Here is a 21,999-nt window from a genome sequence, read left to right on the forward strand (position 1 = left end):
TAAATATCCTTCTTTAATTATTTGTCCTGCCTCAGTTTCTCCAAGCTTTTCTCATAACTGTAGTCCATGGGCCCTCCAATCACTTAAAAAACACACAAAACCCTTAATGGTTTATAGCCAGCAAAGCCAGAAGGAATGAAATACTGTATTCTTTCTCATGATGGACTCAAAGAAGAAACATTTAAGAACACAAAAGAATACTGTTGCAGTGACTTTTTACATTTTACCCATAATTTCTCTATTATGTTTTTCCAATGACTAAAGTAATCTCTTTGAAAACATAATGCCATCATTTTCTGCACAACAGTGACTGTAATAAATTGAGTTGGAAAACATTTACTGACTATGCACTTCGGGCTTAGCTGTGCTAAGGGCTCACAGGGCCACCACAAACAGTGGTGTAGATTGTGCCCAGACATGGGAGCCCGGTTGAAGGGGCAGCTGAAAACCACCATGTTGTCCTCCCACCGAAGCCACCATTACTGACTACAGCAGCCTGGAGAAAGGGTGGCTTTTTTGTTATCCATCTGTCTCAAGGGGCACAGTTTCCTGCTAACCTTTTGTGACAAAGGAAGCTCACGGAATAAGAATACAAGGAGCTTATAATCTAATGGAAGATAATTTCAGTGAAGGGCCACATAAATTACCTGAAGTTCCGTCTTTTTGAGACGAAAGGCAAACAGTTGAGTGATCCTCACTACTCCCTTTATAGTTTCTGTATCTGACCAACTTTTTGGTGGCCACACTTTGGTGGCCCCACTGTGTGATGTTCCCTTTCCTGTGTCCAAGTGTTCTCATTGTTCAATTCCCACCTATGAGTGAGAACATGTGGTGTTTGGTTTTTTGTCCTTGCGGTAGTTTGCTGAGAATGATGGTTTCCAGCTTCATCCATGTCCCTACAAAGGACATGAACTCATCATTTTTTATGGCTGCATAGTATTCCATGGTGCATATGTGCCACATTTTCTTCACCCAGTCTATCATTGTTGGACATTTGGGTTGGTTCCAAGTCTTTGCTATTGTGAGTAGTGCCACAAATCAGAGAGTGATTCTCTTTACCATCCCTTCTGCCTCCTCATTTTTAATCAAAATCATGAAATGTACTTCCCATATTGTAGAGAGTAAATGAGAACTGGAGGAGCCCTATGAAGCACTGTGCGTTGGACAAACTCAGAACAGATGGGCTCCTAAACCTTCTTTCCCATACCTACTATGGGTCAAGTACAAGGGCACTGTCCTTCTCAATCCTCAACTCTATGGGGCAGGTCCTGAGCTCCTTTGTCCAGTTCAGGGAAATGAGGCTCAGAGACATGAACACACTTGCCTCAGGCTACCCAGCAGCTAATAAGTGACCCCAGGACACCATGTCCTCCCTGGACACTAAAGTGGTTTCTTTCCAGAGGAAGGAAAATGGGGACTGGAGTAGGGAGCCTGTGTATTCAGCATTCTTCTCTAATGCCCAGCTCAGCTCTTGGCACAGGGCACTGATACTTGTTGAACTGAACTCAAGAAGGAAAGTTGGAGAACAACCCATTCTTGAGCAGGCACCTCAGATGAGACAAGTGAGGGGGTGCTCTCTCTCGGGTGGCCTCACTTGCTTTACCCTTGTCCCTTAACTGCTCTCATGTGAGCTGCCCTGCTCTCCCTTTCTTCCACCCCATTTTCCATCAACCCTCTGGGGCTTAGGGTCTTTTGTTTCCAAGTCTCATGGATAGGCAGAAGTTCAAACTGCTCCCCACAGTCTCCACTCTCACCTTCCCACTGGCCTTTCTCCAGGTTTACTGCCGCACCTGCACCAAGAGGCACGAAACCCCTCAAGGAAAGTTTCCCATACATCTTCCTGGTGGTCTTTCATTTCTTTGCCAATAAGGCAATCTGCTTCACAACACACTTCGATATATTTGACATCTGTCATAAAACCCAGGTCAGGCAGATCTGTCTTCTGTTAAAATAAGCTATTCTACAAAGACACTTCCTCTGCTGTTAGATCCCCACCAGAAATAATTATTGACATATTGTCCACACGTCCAGCCAACCCTCTTAATAGAAGCCATAAATTTCTGGTGCTGGTTTCCCCTACTTGTATCAGAGAAGCAAGGTAACACTTAGAGAACCAGAAGGAAACCTGAAGGGGAAGCTCTGTCTGAAGTGACTGGCTTCAAACAAATACCTGCCTTTAACATCTTTCAAAAGTTAATGACTGTGGCAACACACAGCTGTTTCTTAGTGATGGAGCATGAATTTTCTCACAACATTACACTGAGATGAGTCTTATGTTCACACAGCACAGAAAGGAGTTGATAGAAGTTTTCTGTGCAGCGGTGATTCCTCTAGATTTAGGGTGGGCTCAACCTTTAGCAAGGTTCTATTCTACATGGGGCAGAATTCTGGGCACTCAGAGTCCCAGACATGCTATGAGTATGAGAGAGCATTGATCACTTCCTGTTCTCATTGATCCCTTGAGAGGCACCCATACAAGTGGCTGGTCTCAGTTTTCCAAAAACCTGCCAGTTGGAAACCCTGTGAAATTGTTTGCCTGTGTCCTCACCCAAATCTAGTCTTGAATTGTAGCTCCCATAATTCCCACATGTTGTGGGAGGGACCTGGTGGGAGGTAATTGATCACTGGGGCAGTGTCCCCCATACTGTTCTTGTGGTAGTGAATAAGTCTCAAGAAATCTGAGGGTTTCATAAGGGGAAACCCCTTTCACTTGGTTCTCATTCCCTCTCTTGCCTGCCGCCATATAAGATGTCCCTTTCACCTTCCACCATGATTGTGAGGCCTCCCCAGCCACATAGAACTGTGAGTCCATTAAACCTCTTTTTCTTTGTAAATTACCCAGTCTCAGGTGTATCTTTATCAGCAGTGTGAAAACAGACTAATACACCCCATTACAAGATTGCTAAGATCAATGCTATACTCAAAGGTGTTTTAGCCCCTCTGAGCCTCAGTAGGTCAAGTACATGGAGGACATGGACATATATATATACTTCTTCCTGCTGATCAGTTAGTAGGAAAAAGCCTGACTTTTATAAAGGAAGGAGGATTTTAGAAACACATGTGCTGACTTGGCTATATTTTTGTTGGTGTAAGGGATGAGTCCTTCTTTTTGAAGATATTTACAAATGTTTCCTTGAGGAAATATTTGCCACAGAAGTGACATTTTAGCAGCTAAGATATTTCACACTGAACAAAACATGTGAGCTGAAACAAGTGTTTTACTTAGGGGAAAGGAAAACTTGCCGACATAGATGAAGCTGCAAATACTTTCTAGATTCAAGGCCAGCTTGACCATGTGAGCAGCCCAGCAGCTATTTGGTGGAGGAGGGGATGGTGTGGGGAGCCCGGAGCTTCCCCAAAAGGACTTTTAAGAACAGAGATTTGTGCAGAGAAGAGAGAAGCCCCCAGATATCAAATGGCAGTTACAATAAAGTAATCATTTCTAGCTGTAACATGTTTCCACATCCTTCTTTTCATCCAAACCTTGAATGGTTGCCAGATATTTTTGTTTCCACACACATAACCTGCTTGCTCCATATTTAAATGAGAAATTGACTGTCTTGTTCAAACTGGAATAAATTGCTGAAAGAAATATAAGTGAGGCTGGGTGCGGTGGCTCATGCCTGTAGTCACAGAACTTTGGGAGGCCGAGGCTGGTGGATCACTTGAGGTCAGTTCGAGACCAGCCTGACCAACATGGTGAAAGCTTGTCTCTACTAAAAATACAAAAAATTTGCTGGGCTTCATGGTGGGTGCCTGTAATCTCAGTTACTCAGGAGGCTGAGGCAGGGGAATCGCTTGAACCCGGGAGGCAGAGGTTGCAGTGAGCTGAAATCATGCCACTAAACTCCAGCTTGGGCGACAGGGTGAGACTCCATCTCAACAAAAAAAAAAACAAAAGAAAAGAAATACAAGTGCTTAAATGACTTCTTCAGGACTGGGAAATCATCTGTCATTTGGACTTTGAGTTGGAGCATTCTAAAGAAACTTGTTGTTTACACTGATGCTGCTAAACTAAGAATAAAGACTGCCGTTGAAAGAGATGCTTTAGCAGTATCTGGATGAGAGATTAACTCCACAAGAAGCAGCGGAAATCACCTATTTCCCCTTGTCCAACCCACTCAACTCAAACCACCCAAAACTGTCAGTGGATTTGAAATGACAGGAAGTGCCTAATTTTATGACCAATAACAACATTGATGGTTAAGGATGTTAAGATAAGGGTAATTTAACTCATGTTTCTAACTATGAACAAATCAGCGGCAGGAATCAGAAAAGCACCAGCAATGGCAATTGACTCAAAATGATCAATCTTGGATGTTCCAGACCACAGATTTTCAAAGCAAAAAGTAGTTCATTTTATCTCAAGTGGGCATCCACCTTGTCATGCAGTCAGAGTTGTACTTCTTCACCAAAGTTTAAGTTAGACCAACATGTCAGTGCCAAGCAAGACTTCCCAGCCTCCCAAGATATGAGAGGGTGTCTATTTCTGAACTCAGCAATAGGACTGTCATCCATTAGTTGGTCCCATGTAAATGGTTGCTAAACAGCAGGCCACTAGCAGGCATTCTGAGAGCTGTCCGACCCCCCTCACGTGGGCTCACTTTCCCTTTCATGCATAAAGTACCTCAACGGGATGACTGCAGTGAGTTCTGTGCCAGTGGCAATGGAAGTCACGCCAGAAGGTTGTTCATTTTGCACAGCAGACATTGGGTGATTGACATACTGTAGAAAATTAAGTACATTTCACGTCAAGATTTTGGCATGTTGCTTACTTTGGGAGTTGGGGAGGGGGCACCTTTTTCACTCAATGTCATCTACACAAACAGATGTGCTATGGAAGAATTCTCCCACCTTCTTGCCAGATTTTGACATGTGGCCTGATGCCCATGTTTGGAAGGAATCAGTAGCTCTTCCCCTATGACTGAATATAAGGCAACATATTGTTGGTCCTTGAGAAATGGCTCATCTCCCTTACAGAGGCAAAGAGCTGGGTTCTGATCCCAGAGACTGCTCTGGTATTTGCTGCCCATGTGCAAAGAATGAAACAATCTCCTATCTACAAATGATGATTTCTCTTGTTTCCATGGTATGGCTTCTCAATGAACCTTGGCGTGCCTCTTGGGTATTTTCAGTTCTGCAATTGTGATTTTGCTTTCATCCTATCCAGCACAAAAATCAAATGACACTTGTCCAGGTTTTAAAGTCCTTCCCCTTGACGTGCCGATATTTAAACACTCTAAGACTGCACACTTTCTGTGTTGTCTTCAGCTGCTTAAGCCTAAATCTTGTGCCTGTAGGTGGAAAATGACTGGATACTATTACCCTGATAGCTGATGATAATATTTCTACATCCGTTGCTAAGCTTCTTAAGTTTCTTCTTCACTTTAGCAGTGTTTCGCATATCATTTTCTAGAAACCGTACTCAATGTGCCTTAGGTAAAAAGTAAGATTCGATACTGCGTTCATGGGAGATTATCTAGGACTAAGCTGCTGAGCGAATGTCTCAGCCTCACTCATCCAGTCTCTCCATAAATGCACCTTTATGTATCTCTCAGGGGTAAAGTGGGTCACTTGATGTTGTTTCAGAACATCTGGAAAACAGTCGCTGGGGTGGAAGGGCTGTTAAAGCTCTTTGTGCTAAGGCTCAGGGGATATAATGAAAACATGGATGTGACACATACCAAATGATTCTAAAACATCCACTTGTTTGTAAGTACCCACACTACTCATTATCTGCTTTTACTTCAAATAAGAGAGGTTTGGCAAGGATGCTGAGTTCAGATATGTATTATTGCTCCTCACAAGCTTAAAATCCCTTTTCTGGCATTTTGGGGCAATCGAGAAGCTAAGAGCGACTGAACTGAATATCCATTTTGCAGTCCTAACCAAGGCAAGTTCTAGAGGGGCAAAAGCACGCAGATGAAGAGGGTACAATGATGGTTGTCAGGGGAAGCGCGTGAGGAGGGACGCGGGCGAGTTAGTGAAAGGGTGCAATATTTCAGTTATGCAGAGTGAATAAATTTTGGAGATCTAATGTACAGAAAGTAACTTAGTTAATAATAATGTATTGTATACTTGCAGTTTGCAAGGAGAGTAGTTTTTTGTTTGTTTGTTTGTTTGTTTGTTTGTTTGCTTTTGATACAATATTGCTCTATCGCCCAGGCTGGAATGCAGAGGTTCCACTCACTGCAACCTCCACCTCCCAGGTTCAAGCGATTCTCCTGCCTCAGCCTGCCGAGTGGCTGGGACGACAGAAGCACACCACCACACCGGGCTAATTTTTGTATTTTTAGTAGAGACGGGGTTTCACCATGTTGGCCAGGCTGGTCTCTAACTCCTGACCTCAAGTAATCCACTTGACTTGGCCTCCCAAAATGTTGGGATTACAGGCGTGAGGCACTGTGCCTGGCCTGCTAAGAGAGTAGATCTTAAATGTTTTGACCACAAGGGAGAGAAAGGTAATGATGTGACATGATGGACATGTTAACTAGCATGATTGTGGTCATCATTTTACAAGGTATATCAAAACCCCACATTGCATGCCTTAAAGTTATAACCTTTTTTTTTTTTTTGAGACAGGGTCTGGCTCTGTGGCCTAGGCTGGAGTGCATTGGCTCAATCTCAGTTCACTGCAACCTTAGCCTCCCGGGCTCAAGTGATCTCCCACCTAAACCTCCCCAGTAGCTGCCACTACACCTGGCTAATTTTTGTGTTTTTGTAGAGACAGGGTTTTGCCATGTTGCACAGGCTGGTCTCGAACTCCTGGGCTCAAGCAATCCACCCGCCTCAGCTCCCAGAATGCTGGGATTACAGGCATGAGCTGCCATGTCCAGCCTAAATATATAATCCTTATTTGTCAATTACACCTCAATAAAGCTGAGGGTGGTGAAGAACAAGCACAGGACTGAGCCATGAAAAACAAGAGCCTACAAGAGACCAGCAAGTTTCCACACAATAGATCTGATGTCGTCTCTATTTGTAGCTATTTCTGGATCAACTGCCAAACGTGACCAATATTAAAAGCAGCCAGCAAATTAATAGACCTTACCTTCCTAAGCCACTTTATTCACCGGCTTTAAGACTTTTTTCTAGGTAGAGATTCACAGTTTTCAGGTATAAAAAGTCTTTCCTGGAGCATCTTTAATTCTAAGCCAAGGAACTTCTTAAGTGATTGAGTAATGTGTTTTGTGATTCTCACTTCCCTTAAAATATTAATTAAGAAAATAAATGAGAGCTTCTCCTTAAGGGGTACACTGAGAGTTAAACTGACTGGCCTTCAGTGCTAGCCATATTGCACTTTCTTTCCTGATTAGCACGGGTGCCAGGCTGTTCCTTCAAATTAAGACAATATGCTTATAGTGATGAGCCGTATTGGCCATCTATCTTCCTTTTGTGATCTGGCTCTCGTCGAGCTGAAATGAAGCCATTTCTTCTGCCTGGGGCTGATTAAACACAGAGTAAACCCAGTTCTCTAAGGAGGCTCTAATGATTCTCTGCAGAGCGCGTGTCAGCCCGGCACCTGCAGGCTTCAGCGTCTCTGTTTCTATCATAAAATGAAGCATCTGTTTCAGGGAGGTGATATCTTTTTATCATCCAGTGTATCGCTCTGGTCGGAGTGGATGCAGCTCATTTGGTACACAAGGCTTCTGCGCCACAGGTAACAAATGGTCCCCCAGGAAGTTCTGCTCTCATCAGGGGTAAAAAGGGCACAGCTTTTGGCAAAAACTTTTGGTAAAAGTCTTCCTGGCTCACATCAAGTGGTCTTCTTTTAGTAAAAACAGGTTAGAAAGTGTAAAGGGGGATCCTTGAAATAAGGCAATCCTTTATTCATCAGCTCATTTATTCATTCATTCAATGAATATTCATCAAGCACCAACTAGGAGCGACGCCCCATGCCAGGATCTGGGGAGAGAGAATAAATATGGCAGATGCAGCCTCTGCCCTGTTGGAGGTCAATGCTGGTGATGGAGACAGACATTAAACAATTAATGGTGAATTAAGTACTTAATTACCACTGGGAAGGGTATCCCAAATCGGAAAGCACCCTGGGAATCTATAAGGGGGGCCTGATGCTTTGGGGCTTCAGAAAAGACTCCCCTGGGGAAGTGACATTTGAGCTGAGATCTCAAGGACAAGACAGAACAGTGCATTCATACAAGGGTGAAAGATTATTTTTCAGCCAAGGAAATGGCATATTCAAAGACCCTGGGGTGGAAGGGTGACACTGTCCCACATGAGAAATGAGAAAAAAATCAATGAAAAGGAAAATGGCTAAAGATGGGGCTGGTGACATGGACAGGAATGAAATCAGGCAGGGCTTGAAGGTAGTCTTATCCCAGGAGCATGACAGGCTTGGGCGGTTTGTGCCAAGAGCTTTTCTACCATTTATCTAGTAGGAACCACATAGCACTTGCGTTGCCAGACACTGCCCAGACACATTTAATTTATGATTTGCAATCAATCTAACATTCTTTCAACAAAGACATTTTAGCCACTCCTTGTAGGTGAGGAAATTAGGACTTAGAGGGGTTAGAGATGGGCCAGGTCCATGTAGTCAGCAGTATGGGCCCAGGTCTCTAACCCAGCCCAGCCCAGCCCAGCCCAGCCTAGCCCATGTCCTGGCTTTTTCCTCTGTGCCATGCTGCCTTCCCACCCATGGACCAAATAATGAACTGCTAAAAGTTTGTGAGGTTTGTGCCACATTGTACTTTTTCCAATTGTTTGACTCTTTGGGAGAATTTCTAAGTTACTAATTGATAATATTAAAATAATAATAGCTCTATTCATATCATTATAGAATTAAAGATAGTACAGCAGATTTGCCTTATCTCTTAGAAAGAATTCTTGGCAAGAAGGGATTAAACTAGTGTCATGTAGAAGCTCAAGGCCTGAGATCTGGAATTAGATTGACCTGGGTTCAAATCCCACCTTGTCCAGTAACCTAGAGTAACCTAGAGCAAGGTGGTTACAAATATTGAGACTCAGTTTCATCCCTGTAAAATGGACATATTCACGTCTACTTCAGTTTGTTGTTATGAGGATTGAATGAAATAGCTATGCAAATAATTTTCCAAGTTCCTGAGTGGCTCAGTCCACATTCGCACCTGTCATCACCACCACCACTGCCACCATCTTCTTCATCATCACTGTTAGTTAACAGAGTTGCCAGGTCGGTGGGACATGGGACATCAAACAGCTCATCTCTTTCCCCTGGCAGGTGTTTTTGAGCCTATTGCAAATGTGTTGTCCATTTTCCTGCTTTCTCATTATTGAAAGGAATGTGAACTCATCCCTGGCAGGTAGCTGAGGACTAAGTCTGCCTAAGAATGTCGTGCAGACATTAAATTCAAGAACATTTGAAAATGACACAAGGCAATTCCAAAAAGACTTAAATAACTCTACAAAAGGAGACATAGATGAACACAGCTGGATAGGGGGCATTTAAAATGTACCTGTCTTTTAAAATAAATGACTATACCAAATGGGAGGACTTCATTTTGCTTTGAAAACTGCTTTTTTGTCATTAGAGTTTTATGCTTTTAAAAAAACTTTTGAGGCATCAAATTGATCATTTTTAAATAGAACAAAGAGTTCACATGCAAATATTATATAAATATAACATAGGTGTGTACAGATGTGATGCAAGTTCCCCTGAAAAGTATATAAAACATCTAAATTGGGAAAGAGATCTAGACAAAGCCACCTGCTCCCTTGATGGTTATCTGGATTTCACCAGAGTACCTGCCATGTCCCTCCTTAGGCTGCTTGTATCCAGGTTTATACAAAAAGATCCACAAAAATCACTTAATAAATTAAACAATGCTTATAAGAGCTCCCTGTCCAGTGCCTGGCACCTTGTCAGACTTTGATCAATGTTAGCTATTGCAATAATACAACAATGATACTTTAGGATTGCAAAAGCTTTTAAAGTCCTCCACTTTAATGTCTATGTTTCACAGATGATAAAACTATGGTCCCAAGAGGTCACGAAACTTTCACAATATTTCAGAGCTACTAAGACCGGAGCCTACCTGTAAGGGCATGAAGAAGCTTAAGCAATCTGAGATCTGAGATAACCAGAAAGTTTCAGAATGCCTAGCGCTCTAAAAAAGCTATTCCTATCTCATGGGATTGTTCTTTCATCACACTAATTCCACTGGCATTCCTTTCTTCTCATCTGTCCCCACTAGGTTCTGTGAGGGCAGGGATTGTGTATGCCTCATTTCCCACCTTCTCCCCAGCAGCAGCACTATCACCTGGCATGTGGTATGCATTCAATGAAACGTTTGTAAATTGAATGGAAATGTATCAGCACAAACACAATGCCAAAGGACATGCCAAACTGTCATGATGTCCATCCCAGAATGACATGCAGGACTTAGTTAAATGTTAACCTTTTACGACTTTGAGAGATTAGACAGTTTTGTTATATAAAGAGGTGCTGAACAAAAAACAAAAGGTAACATGTGCCCAGTGAGTCAAGCTTGTTGTGGCTGATCCCTTCTCAATACAACTTCCTGGCTATCAGAGAGAGAACTCTATCTGCAATGAACAAAACCAGGTTAAAAAAAAAGTTAGGTGAAGCAGAAGCTGTGGATTTAGCAGAGAACTCTATACACTATAGACATGCTGATGACCACCTTCAGGCAGAAGATCTGTCCATTTGGAAATCTCATTGCCAATCCCACTGAAATTTGTTCACGGTTGTCTTAAATGTGGTTTGATACTCATTGTGGTCCTAGGGGCAAAGTGCCAGTGGTGATGGAGAATCCTGTGTCTCTATAGGAAGGCTCTGTCAACTGTCACTAGCCCAACCCATAAATTCAAACACACCATTTGTCAGCAGCCCTTCTTCCTGCCAGGCTTGCAGGGTAATGCTCCTTTCCCTCAACATAAAGTGTCCAGAGATGGGCCACAAGAAATGGATGGGGTGAAAGACATGCCCGGAATTGTAAATCACTCACTCTCTCTGAAATTCAAATTCATCTTCTATAAAATAAGGACTGTAAGGCTTGCCCAATCCACCCCACCAGATGGGTGCAAGGTACATAAAAGGCCACTGACAGGCATCTTCCAGAATGTAAAGTTGATACAATTATAAACTGGTTTTCATGTCTTGAGAGTGTCCCACTAGGTGTTACAAGGTTAACAAAATGAATACCACATGGCCCTGCCCTTCAAGGAGATTATAGTGTAGAAGCATGGTGAGTTGAAAAACATAGAAAGATAGATATAGAAACACACACACACACACCTGTTCTCTTATCAAATATTCTCGTGAAGAAATCCAATATAGAATATGCTAAAGTGCATATTAAATAATCTTTGTTTGATTGATATTGACTACTCTCAATTTCACTCGAATCAGCATATAAAGTTTTACATCTTTAGAGGAGAAGAATAAAAAACTTATAAATGGGGTCCTTTATATGAAATCCTATAAATTCAAAACCAGACATTATTAAAATGGATGAGAAAGATGTTCTGGAGTACATGTCTGCCTCTTATTTCCTGTACAGGACCCGTGTTTTCTGTATGAGTCCACAAGATCGAAGACTTTATGGACAGAAGTCATGTATCTTCAACACAGGTAAAGGACTTGCGCTCATGAAAAGTTGGGGGTTTCCCTCCCTTATCAAACAAACAAGCACGCTTGATATTTTGCCAAAACTGATTAGATTATATCTGCACTTAACTTTGCGGTAAATGCAAAAACAAAATCTCTAACATTTATAAACAAAAGTTTCTTTCTTACTTCAGAGTTCAAGGCAGGAAACAACTTTCACTGACTCTTAGACATACTACAGCTTGAATGTTACGGGGACATAAAATGTATTTATTATTGCTGTAGCTCAAAATTTCCATCCCACCACATTTGAACACTGATTTGGGGTTTACAAAAATAGCATCAGCAACATTGCCAAGGAGATCCTATAACCTTAACCCAAAGTAAATATGAAAGCAGAAAAGAAATGCAACCTTTTTAAAGTTCTCTCTATGCAAATATCATGCAGAAGTCACTGACTACTGAACACTCCCATGCCTCTCCAATATCTGAACCACCCCGGAAAAATACCATGATGATCTCCTTGTTATTTTGATCTTTCACAGATTTCCTTTAATTCTTATTCACTCTTTGTGTTGGTGTCTGTATCTACAGCCATCATCTATAGGTGGTAAATTTATTAAAAGTCCAATACAGTCATCACCACAAAATCACAAAAGAAGCTTTTTATAAAACCTCTGGGTCTATTTATATTCTGAGATCAAATTGTCACTCTATGCCTGAGCCATCCGTCAAAAGGAAACATATTAATAGTAGTGTGGCATGTGCTAAGACTTATGGGGCTACAAACTTCCTACCCTGCTATCCCCAAAACACGTATCTGCGTGAATTTATGTCCAACACTGCTGAGGGTCTGGACTAAAAAGAACTTTGGAACACAAGGTTCTGGGAAGACATGGGAAGCCAAGATGGAAGAGAATGCTGTGTGTTTCCCAGATGGTGCCAGAAACTCAGTCTGATGCGCTCTTTCACAAAAGCCATTATGAGACTCAGGTCCAAACTGTACTGCCTACAGGCTAAAGTGATGAAGTGAGACACACAGACAGAGGGATCTGCCCCACACACTTCACCACAGACTTCACAGCCACTCTGACTCCTCCAGGAACAACAGTGGAGAACTGCTGGGCCCAGTGGAGCCCAGATGAAGCAAAAGAAGGGACCAGCCATGACAGGTGGTCTTGTTGGGGCCATGGAAGGATCTCAAGAGCTATGAATGTTCATTTGACTTCATGTATTCCCATAACTGAGACCTAGGAATATCCAGGTGCCCTTTGTGTATGGAGTGTTGGATTGAACTTGCATTACTCACCTAAAATATGTGCATAAAATTTGCGAAGTTTAAATTTAAAATTTGAGCATCACTTCAAGAACACTTAGCACTAAGGTCCCTGAAATGCTCATTGATGATATGAAGCTGAATAAGAAAGCCTGTCCCTAGGGTTCCTTTCTCTAGGACAGACACACCACCAACACTGGCATATCTCTTCTGTGTATTAGCAAAGAATTTTGTTAGCATATCTTCATACAGCTTCTAAGAGACCTAAGTTATTAACACTCATTTAGTCCCATTGTGTAAACACTGGGAGAATCTGGCTGTCTTTTAAAATGCATTCAGTATTCATAAAACCTAAAAAGTATGGCTTACCTTCACAAAATGATTGGTGTCCATAATTGTGAGTGTCAATATATGTCTAGAATTTAGCATTTACCTTGTGATACACAATGAAGAAAATACAACTAACTACTCTTGAGAAAATAACTCAAACTCTCTAGGTGGGGAATAGATTAGTCCATCAAGGATACAAGCGAGGAACACTTACTAACTATAAAAAAAAAAAAGTTGCAATATCAGAAGCCTTTTAGTAACACGGTAGCCTAAACAGAGGAGAACAATTCAGAACTCAATTGTTTCTTCTAGCTTCTGGCCAAAGCTCTGACAAGAAAAATACCATCTAAATACCAAAGAAAGTTTTATTGTATATGCTTTTTGGTTTTTGTTTTGCTATACAAGAAATTATTAAAATTTACACTTGTAAAACTAGTTATATAAATCTTTCCTCCCACACCATCCTTGTCCCCTTAGCAGTTATTAAAGCAGGTGTGTTTTCCCTGAATTGGATAAAATACCATCAAGGTCCAAAATAAAAGAATTACTAGCAAACTTTGATGAATTCTAGAAATTGATACAAGAATAAAATTGTATCATCTCCTTAAACAAGACTATTGAGGGCTGGACGCAGTGGCTCACGCCTGTAATCCCAGCACTTTGGGAGGCCGAGGCGGGCAGATCACGAGGTCAAGAGATCGAGACCATTCTGGCCAACATGGTGAAACCCCGTCTCTACTAAAAGTACAAAAATTAGCTGGGCATGGGGGCACTCGCCTGTAGTCCCAGCCCCTCGGGAGGCTGAGGCAGGAGAATCGCTTGAACCCAGGAGGCAGAGGTTGCAGTGAGCCGAGATGGCGCCACTGTACTCCAGCCTGGAGACAGAGCGAGACTCCATCTCAAAAAAAAGAAAAAAGACTATTGAAAAATTTTACCCAGTTAATTCAAAGCTTCTTCGTGTGGGGGAAAACAACAAAACAACAACAACAACAACAACAACAAAACTCTTAGTATGAATGAATATTTTAGCATTTTGAAAGCAGGTCTTTGTGAGAAAATTCCATAAACAAAGAAAACTTTTAGATGTGTCAAATTCAACAATCTGCTTACGTTGGTGACATGAAACACACTAAGTCTTTCAGGAGGTCCAACTTTAAAAATATTTTAAATGACCAATGACATGAAAGTATGAATTTGCTTCACCCTTTTCTTTTTGATATCAGTGATATATTAAGGAAAAGATAAAGTAACTCTTAACAAAGTAACATTTTATTTCCCATGATTAGGTCTGTTGACAAATATAACAGGTATAACCAAAGTTTTATTAAGCAGTTAAATTTCCAATCTTGGTAAAAGATATCCAGAACCAGTCCACATTTGTATTTTAAATGTTTTTGTTTAACTCTTCTGCAGGAAAAAAAAAAAAGTGTTCCTCAGTCATTCATATGTGATACGAGATTCAGTGCATCTTGCAAAATATTATGTAAATATTTGAAAAAAACTGCTCTTTTCAATTGCAAGAAGGCAAACTGTAAAACGCATATTGTGTGGCAGCATAGATTTACTGTTTCAAATTGGATGATGCAGGCAAAAGTACTTTGTAAGTGGTAAATAAAGTTCTGCATATTTGCAAGTTATTCAAACTGCTTGTGAAGCTTCCTACATGAAGTTGATGGTGGTGGTGATAATGAATAACAATAGCTATTATTTACTGAGTGAGTGTGCCAGCCACCATTCTAAGCACTTAACATATATTTGCTTATTTATTACTCAGAAGAATTGGTGGAAGTTTGGTTGAAGTAGATACTCTTATTATTGCCACTTGACAGATAAACACTGACAGTACAAAGAAGTTAAGTAAATTGCCTTAGGTCATACAGCTCATCACCTTATGACTATTAAAGTAGTTCTTCATGACTTCACGCAACTGTAGTCACAAATGAAACTGCTGGCACAGAATTTATGAATTACTGTCTAGTTAGAATATATGATCCAGGTAACCCAACCTATGGCCACATTTCTTTTTGGTTATTAAAGTAAAAGCACACATGCGAACTTATTTAGATACCCAAAGATATGGCAGGCATCTTTGAACTAACGCACAGACTTGTTCTCTTTGTTTGAAATTGATTCAAATGAGTCATATGATCTGTACAAATGCTCTTCCTGTTCTAGAGTAAGACATGCTAAATGTTTAATAAATGAGTGTGTGCTTCCCAGTGTGGCAGTGTTTGCCTTTCTTACTTGGTGTGTTACTCAGAAATCTTTGGTTTGCTGGCTGGGTGCAGCAGCTCACACCTGTAATCCCAGCACTTTGGGAGGCCGAGGCAGGTGGATCACCTGAGGTCAGGAGTTCGAGACCAGCCTGGCCAACATCATGAAACCCCATCTCTACTAAAAATACAAATAATAATAATAATAATAATAATAATAATAATAATAACTGGGCGTGGTAGTGCATGCCTGCAATTCCAGCTGCCTGGGAGGTGGAGACAGGAGAATTGCTTGAGCCCGGGAGGTGGAGGTTGCAGTGAGCCAAGATTGCGCCACTGCACTCCAGCTTGGGTGATAAAATGAGACTGTGTCTCAAAAAAAAAAAAAAAAATCTTTGGTTTGCCATGAGTAAAAAGTCAACTGAAACCAACTAAAACCAAAAAGGAGAAACATATTAGTTCCAATAAGTGAGGAGTTTAGAGAGTTCAGTTTTCAGGTGTGGCTGGATCCAGGTACTCAAGTAATGTCATCATGCGCATCTAACTATTGCTCCTGCTCTGTGCTGCTCTGCTTCCTTCTCCATTGGCATCCTTCATCAGGCTTTCTTCACTGCAGTTAATGGTTTATATGTGGCTCTTCTAGAAGTGAGCATACTTCTTTCTTTACATCTCCAACCAATGTCTCAGGCAAGCCTTGTATTGGCAGAGCCTGGTATCATGTACCCATCTCTGAACAAATCACTTCCTTCAGAAGAATAAGACATCTGACTGGCTAATCAAGAAGTAGGAGGAGGAGAAAGTGGGGGGAAGGGAAGAGAACATAGAGAAGATGATGGTGATAAATGGACATGTGACATAAGAGTAGCCTCTCGTAGCCCAGAGGTGTCTTGCTGATTTTTATCTTTAATGTTATCTCAAAAATTTAGCTTCCAAAAAACAAAAAGAAATAGACCATTCCATCTCCTCTTTAGGTTATGTTGTTTATTTGTGCCTTATTTATTTTATTTAAAAGAAAATACTACAGAGTAGCTTTGAACAAGGCAAGGCTTATATGGATGATGCCATTTAGGAGCGAGATAGTTTCTTTCTCTGCTTCATTGTACTTGGTGATAATTATAATCGGTGCCCATGGTGACTCTTTATTGTGTCATTCCAATAAATTCACATTCATATTTAAAATCATAAATTAACAAGGGTTACTACAAAGTGTTCCTTATTACACATTTATAATTTCTCAGACACAAGGAAAATAATGGGAGTTTCCCTGTGGTCATTTGTCACATAATAATATCCTTCCGCCCTGCTGCATACAAAGGTCCCATTGATTGGAAGAGCAGCTACACTTGTGCGCAGGGCCAAAGGATTGGGGAAATTCTCAACTGGTTTAACAAGAATGAGCACCACACATTCTGAAAGGTCTGCAGTGACCAAGTCACCAAAACTGGGTCTGCAATGAGAATTGGGAAAAATTAGAGAAGTGCCTTTAGGCAACTAGAAACTGAGAGACCGAGAGTTCACATAAGAGCAAATGAGTATCTTGGGCCATGCCTTATATTTCTCCTGAAATTTCTTCCCACTCTCAACAGAGAGAGAGAGAGCCAAGGGAGAGAGCTATTCCATAGCCACATGGGTGCCGGTCCTCACACCCAGACCCTGAAGCCCCCGTAGCATTACTGAGAATTATATTCTCCCCCTTCCCTTGACTTTTTTGTTGAACTTTTCTTTTTCTTTTAGACCCAGGACAGAACATTGAGTAAGTCATACTCCTCAACTCATAGCACGCTATCGTTACAAGTTTGTGCCAAGCCCTTCACTCATGTGTTCATTAACTTTTATCTCCTTTTCCCCTTCCATTTTCCTCCCACAACCCATAAACAATAGCAGTATTGTGTTCGATGACATCCTTGAGTTTGTATGCATTCTCATAAGACACCCCAAATTTCCTTGCTCTGTCTGTATATGTACCTTATATACACATACGTTTATGTATAAGCATATATATACATACATGTTTACATATATACACATATGTATGTTTATACATAAATGGTGCCCACAGATGTTTTTGTGGTTTTCCTCCCTCTTAGTCAGTTTTTAAGATTTAATCTGCACTGCTTCATACTGCTGCATAGCATTGTATGATGAGCCTCCCTGACATCTCACTACCCATCTCCCCAGCGAAAAACACCTCAGTCACCCCATCCTCACCACCACACCCAATGCTGGGATGGGTTCCACTCCCAGGAGCAGGACAGCTGGGTCATGGGGCTCATGGATCAGTCTCCATCTGACTTCCCTGCGTTGACTATGAAGCACCCACCATGATGATGGTATCAGGTTCATAGCATGTGAATGGAAGAATCTGGGGCTCAAAGAGGTTAAGTGATCTGCCTAACTTCACATCGCTAGTTAAATGCTGGCGTCTGGATTTAAAGCCAAGTTTCTCTGACTCCCAGGTTCACATCCTTCCACCGTAGACTGCCCTCTGAGACAGCCACGTATAAAGGGGTCCTGGAGAACCTCTGACTGGCCTGCACACTGGGAGGAGTGTGGAGTCTCGGGAAGCTCATGCCATTTGCAGGAGGGAGGAGCCTGGCTCCTTCTCTTCCTGGGTGGTACCTGGGATTCAGCCTGTGAGGTGGGAAGCCTGTACTAGCAGGACTCTCACTATGCTGAGAATCTGCTTCCCCTTTTATTCCCTTTTGCCCAATAAATTCCGTTTTTCTAACCCTTCAAAGTGTCTGCAAGCCTAATATTTCGTGGTTGTGTGACAAGACCCCTATTTCAGCTGAACTAAGGAGAAAGGCCTACAACACTTCCATAGAGAGCTTATGTTTCAATATCCTAGGCTATAGGTAGCAAAGATTTGGTTAGCAATCTTTCTTGTAAGAAGGCCAGAAAAAGTATTCCTTCCCTTCATCAGGCATCCAATCCCCCCAGTGCCTTCAGGCCTGCTGGGAGTGGAGAACAGGGCCTGCCACAAGGTCATTGTATAATCAGAGGTGAGGGAGAGCCCCACTGGCTAGGGGCCAGGCAAACGTAGGCCTCCTCGCACCCCTGATGCAAGCAGATTAACAGCTGCCATCTGGCAAGCACAGTTTCTCCATGCAAACTGCAAACCTCACCCCCCGGGTGAATCACTGGTGTGTCCAATACCAGTCAAGCCCGATGAAACTCTGATGGCTCTATTAATGAAGATGAAAACTTGAGATACGCCAAATACAGATTAAATGGCATCTTGGTAACATGATTATCTCTGAATTACTAGCAGCAGAGAGACAGCCAAATGACTAATCTTGGGGAAGGCCGAGTGCTTTGGACAGAGGATTCGCTACTTCAGCCCCAGGGCATCATTTGCTGTATCAGAGTCGTATTTTACCACAGGGAACACCCAAGAGTGGTGGCTTCCTCTGCAGTAGAAAGTCACTCTGTTTCCAGAGAAGATTTACTTTCTTCAAGTTCTGAGATACCAAATGCAGAATGGTCTGAAACAAGATGACGAGGGAGTATGTCAGGAAAAAATGAGGAGGAATCACAGGAATCTGGCAGATGTTCCTGTCGATAGCATTGTTGAAATTAACAGAAATGAAAGGATAGAAATGATTGAGAAGGAAGCCTAAAAGCCACAAGCCAAGTCATTTTCTCCTGCTTTCTTTCCACTTCCGTCTTTAGCTCTCTAGTATTTAGTAAGCTCTTCATTCTTTTTTTTTGTTTTTTTTTGATGGAGTCTTGCTCTGTCGTCCAAACTGGAGTGCAGTGGCACAGTCTTGGCTCACTGCAACCTCTCCCTCCTGGGTTCAAGCAATTCTCCTGCCTCAGCCTCTTGAGTAGCTGGGACTACAAACACCTACCACCACACCCAGCTACTTTTTGTATTTTTCTTTTTTCCCGAGACGGAGTCTTGCTCTGTCACCCAGGCTGGAGTGCAGTGGTGTGATCTCGGCTCACTGCAACCTCCGCCTCCAGGGTTCAAGCGGTTCTCCTGCCTCAGCCTCCCCAGTAGCTGGGATTGTGCCACTGTGCCCAGCTAATTTTTGTATTTTTAGTAGAGACGGAGTTTCACCGTATTGGCCAGGCTGGTCTTGAACTCCCAACCACAAATGATCCTCCTGCCTCAGCCTCCCAAAGTGCTGGGATTATAGGCATGAACCGCCGTGCCCAGCCTGTTTAGTAAGTTTTTCTATGCTAGTGCTTTCAATCCATTAGCACATGTCACCTCTGTGAGGTGGGCATTGTCATTTCCATGTTCCATGTGGGAAAGCTAAGGTTTACAGTGTTCATGACCAGACACAGTGGCTCACTCCTATAATCCCAGCACTTTGGGAGGCTGAGGTGGGGGGATCACTTGAGCCTAGGAGACTAGCCTGGGCAACAATTGTGAGACCCTGTCTCTACAAAAAAATTAAAAATTAGCCGGGACACCTGTGCTCCCAGCTACTTGGGAGGCTGAGGTGGGAGGATCATTTGTGCCCAGGTGGGTAGGGCTGCAGGGTGCTATGATCTCACCGCTGCACTCCAGGCTGAGAGACAGAGTGAGACCTTGTCTGGAAAAAAAAAAAAAAAAAGAGTGTTAATGACTTGTCTGACATCGCACATCAGCTGGAAAAGGGAGGTTAAGAAATTTTCATCTTCTTTTTTTTTTTTTTGATATGGAAATCCAGCTCTGTCATCCAGCCGGGAGTGTAGTGGCATGATCTCGGCTCACCGCAACCTCTCCCCCCTGGGTTCAAGCAATTCTCTGCCTCAGCCTCCTGAGTAGCTGAGATTACAGGTGCCCGCCACCATGCCCAGCTAATTTTTATATTTTTAGTAGAGATGGGGTTTTACCATCTTGGCCAGGCTGGTCTTGAACTCCTGACCTCGTGATCCATCCACCTAGGCCTCCCAAAGTGCTGGGATTACAGGTGTGAGCCACCGTGCCCAGCCCATTTTCTTTAAAACAGATGATCCGGACTTGTCAAGTGATGATGATACTAGAGGAGTGGGATTGATAGTAAATATCTGTAGATAATTTGGGATGGGTACAGTGGCTCATACCTGTAATCCCAGCACTTTGGGAGGCCAAGGCAGAAGGATGCTTGAGTCCAGAAGTTCAAGACAAGCCTGGGCAACATACTGACATTCCGTCTCTACAAAAGATAATTTTTTTAATTAGTCAAGTGTGGTGGCATGCACCTGTAGTCCCAGCTACTCAGGAGGTTGAGGTGTGAGGAGCTCTCGAGCCTGGGAGTATAAGACTGCAGTGAGCTACTATCACATAGTTGCACGCCAGCCTGGGTGACAGGGTGAAACCCTATCCAAATAATAATAATAATAATTTGACAAATAAAGTCTCTTTTAATGTAGCTGGAATTGTGTAAGAAAGTCTTTCCTCAGCAAATAAGAAATGGACTATGAAATCTCCCAGAATCTTTTTTAGCCCCTAATTAGCTATAAATCTCCTGACAGTTTAGCCATGGGAGGCCCAAGACATGAATTGGTGGCATGGCACATGGTCTAATGTGCATATTGTATAAAGTTATCTAAATACATCTTGAGAGAGTCCACGCTTTCTCCATTCTTTTGAAGTACATTTCCATGGGTAGCAGACAGATGAACAAAATGCTGGTTCTAGGACCTCAGATATACTGTACCTGTTTCAATCAGATGCATAACTGTGGTAGGGCTGTTATTGTTTACTTTTCATACTATCACTAGCAACTTTAATTTTTGGTTAAGTTCTCGAAATCTCTTTCTGGAAAAGCAAATGATATCACATTCTCCATTCTCCTGGTTAACAGTGTCATTATCACACTGCAGATTCTCAAACAAACAGCTAAGTTCCACTGTCATTCCGAATCCTTTCTCTTTCTTTTGTAATGCATTCACAAACATATTCAGTCTTCTGCCTTCTCAATGGAGAAAATGTTATAGAAACTACTATAAGCGGTGCATAATTGTAAATGGCTTTAAAAAGCCATATGGAAGGATGAATAATCTTCCTTTTTGTTTCCATCTTTCCTTAATATTCTTTTGCTTTGTGTTTTGCAATACCTTTTGCACCCAGCTTTGGTCAAAATTGTTGTTGGCCATTTGCCAGTTTGAAATGTCCTACAAAATGAATTGCTTCTTTTGTAAATAAGAAAAATCTTGGTAACTTTGGAAAATATTGCTTGGAAATACCACACTGGAGTTATAGCTAGCTGTGAGCACTTTCTGTGGGGGCAAAGGAGTGCAGTGAGTTTATTGTCTGTTCAGCATGTATAAATCATGATCCAGGTAGTATTTTGTGCTTGCCTTCATATCTTCTAGCAGCTGTAGGTTGGGGCATCGCAAATATTCTTTCAAGAAAACACCACGTATTTCCTTTCTCAGGATGGCCTTTCATTTTGGGTTAAATTTTCAAATAACACAAGTACCAGATGGAATTTGGGACAAATTTTTAACCACTGATTTATTGGCTGAGGCTTAATGAGGACACCATGATATTCAAATGAATAAGTTCACCCACTTTTATTGGCTTCCTTTTCTTAATTTTTACATTAAGAAGTTAATTTAGTCCTCTTACAAGTTAAATGCCAACCTCTTCTAAAATTATTCTAACAAGGTAACTTCTGATTTGGCCACTTTTT

At 41.9% G+C, this 21,999-nt stretch overlaps 2 long non-coding RNA genes across 2 annotated transcripts in view; one reads left to right on the forward strand and one right to left on the reverse strand.

The window, feature by feature from the left end:
* Positions 1-11,593, forward strand: part of LOC112268156 (uncharacterized) — a 236,909-nt gene extending 225,316 nt beyond the window's left edge. The window contains exon 2 of the long non-coding RNA XR_002957737.1: positions 11,523-11,593. This is a non-coding gene — a long non-coding RNA (uncharacterized LOC112268156). The remainder of the gene's footprint in view (positions 1-11,522) is intronic.
* NR2F2-AS1 (NR2F2 antisense RNA 1) overlaps positions 1-21,999 on the reverse strand; it is a 200,002-nt gene that overhangs the window by 88,391 nt on the left and 89,612 nt on the right. The gene's annotated exons all lie outside the window — the stretch shown is intronic.

This window comes from Homo sapiens, chromosome 15, assembly GCF_000001405.40.
Source record: "Homo sapiens chromosome 15, GRCh38.p14 Primary Assembly".
Lineage (NCBI taxonomy): Eukaryota > Metazoa > Chordata > Mammalia > Primates > Hominidae > Homo > Homo sapiens.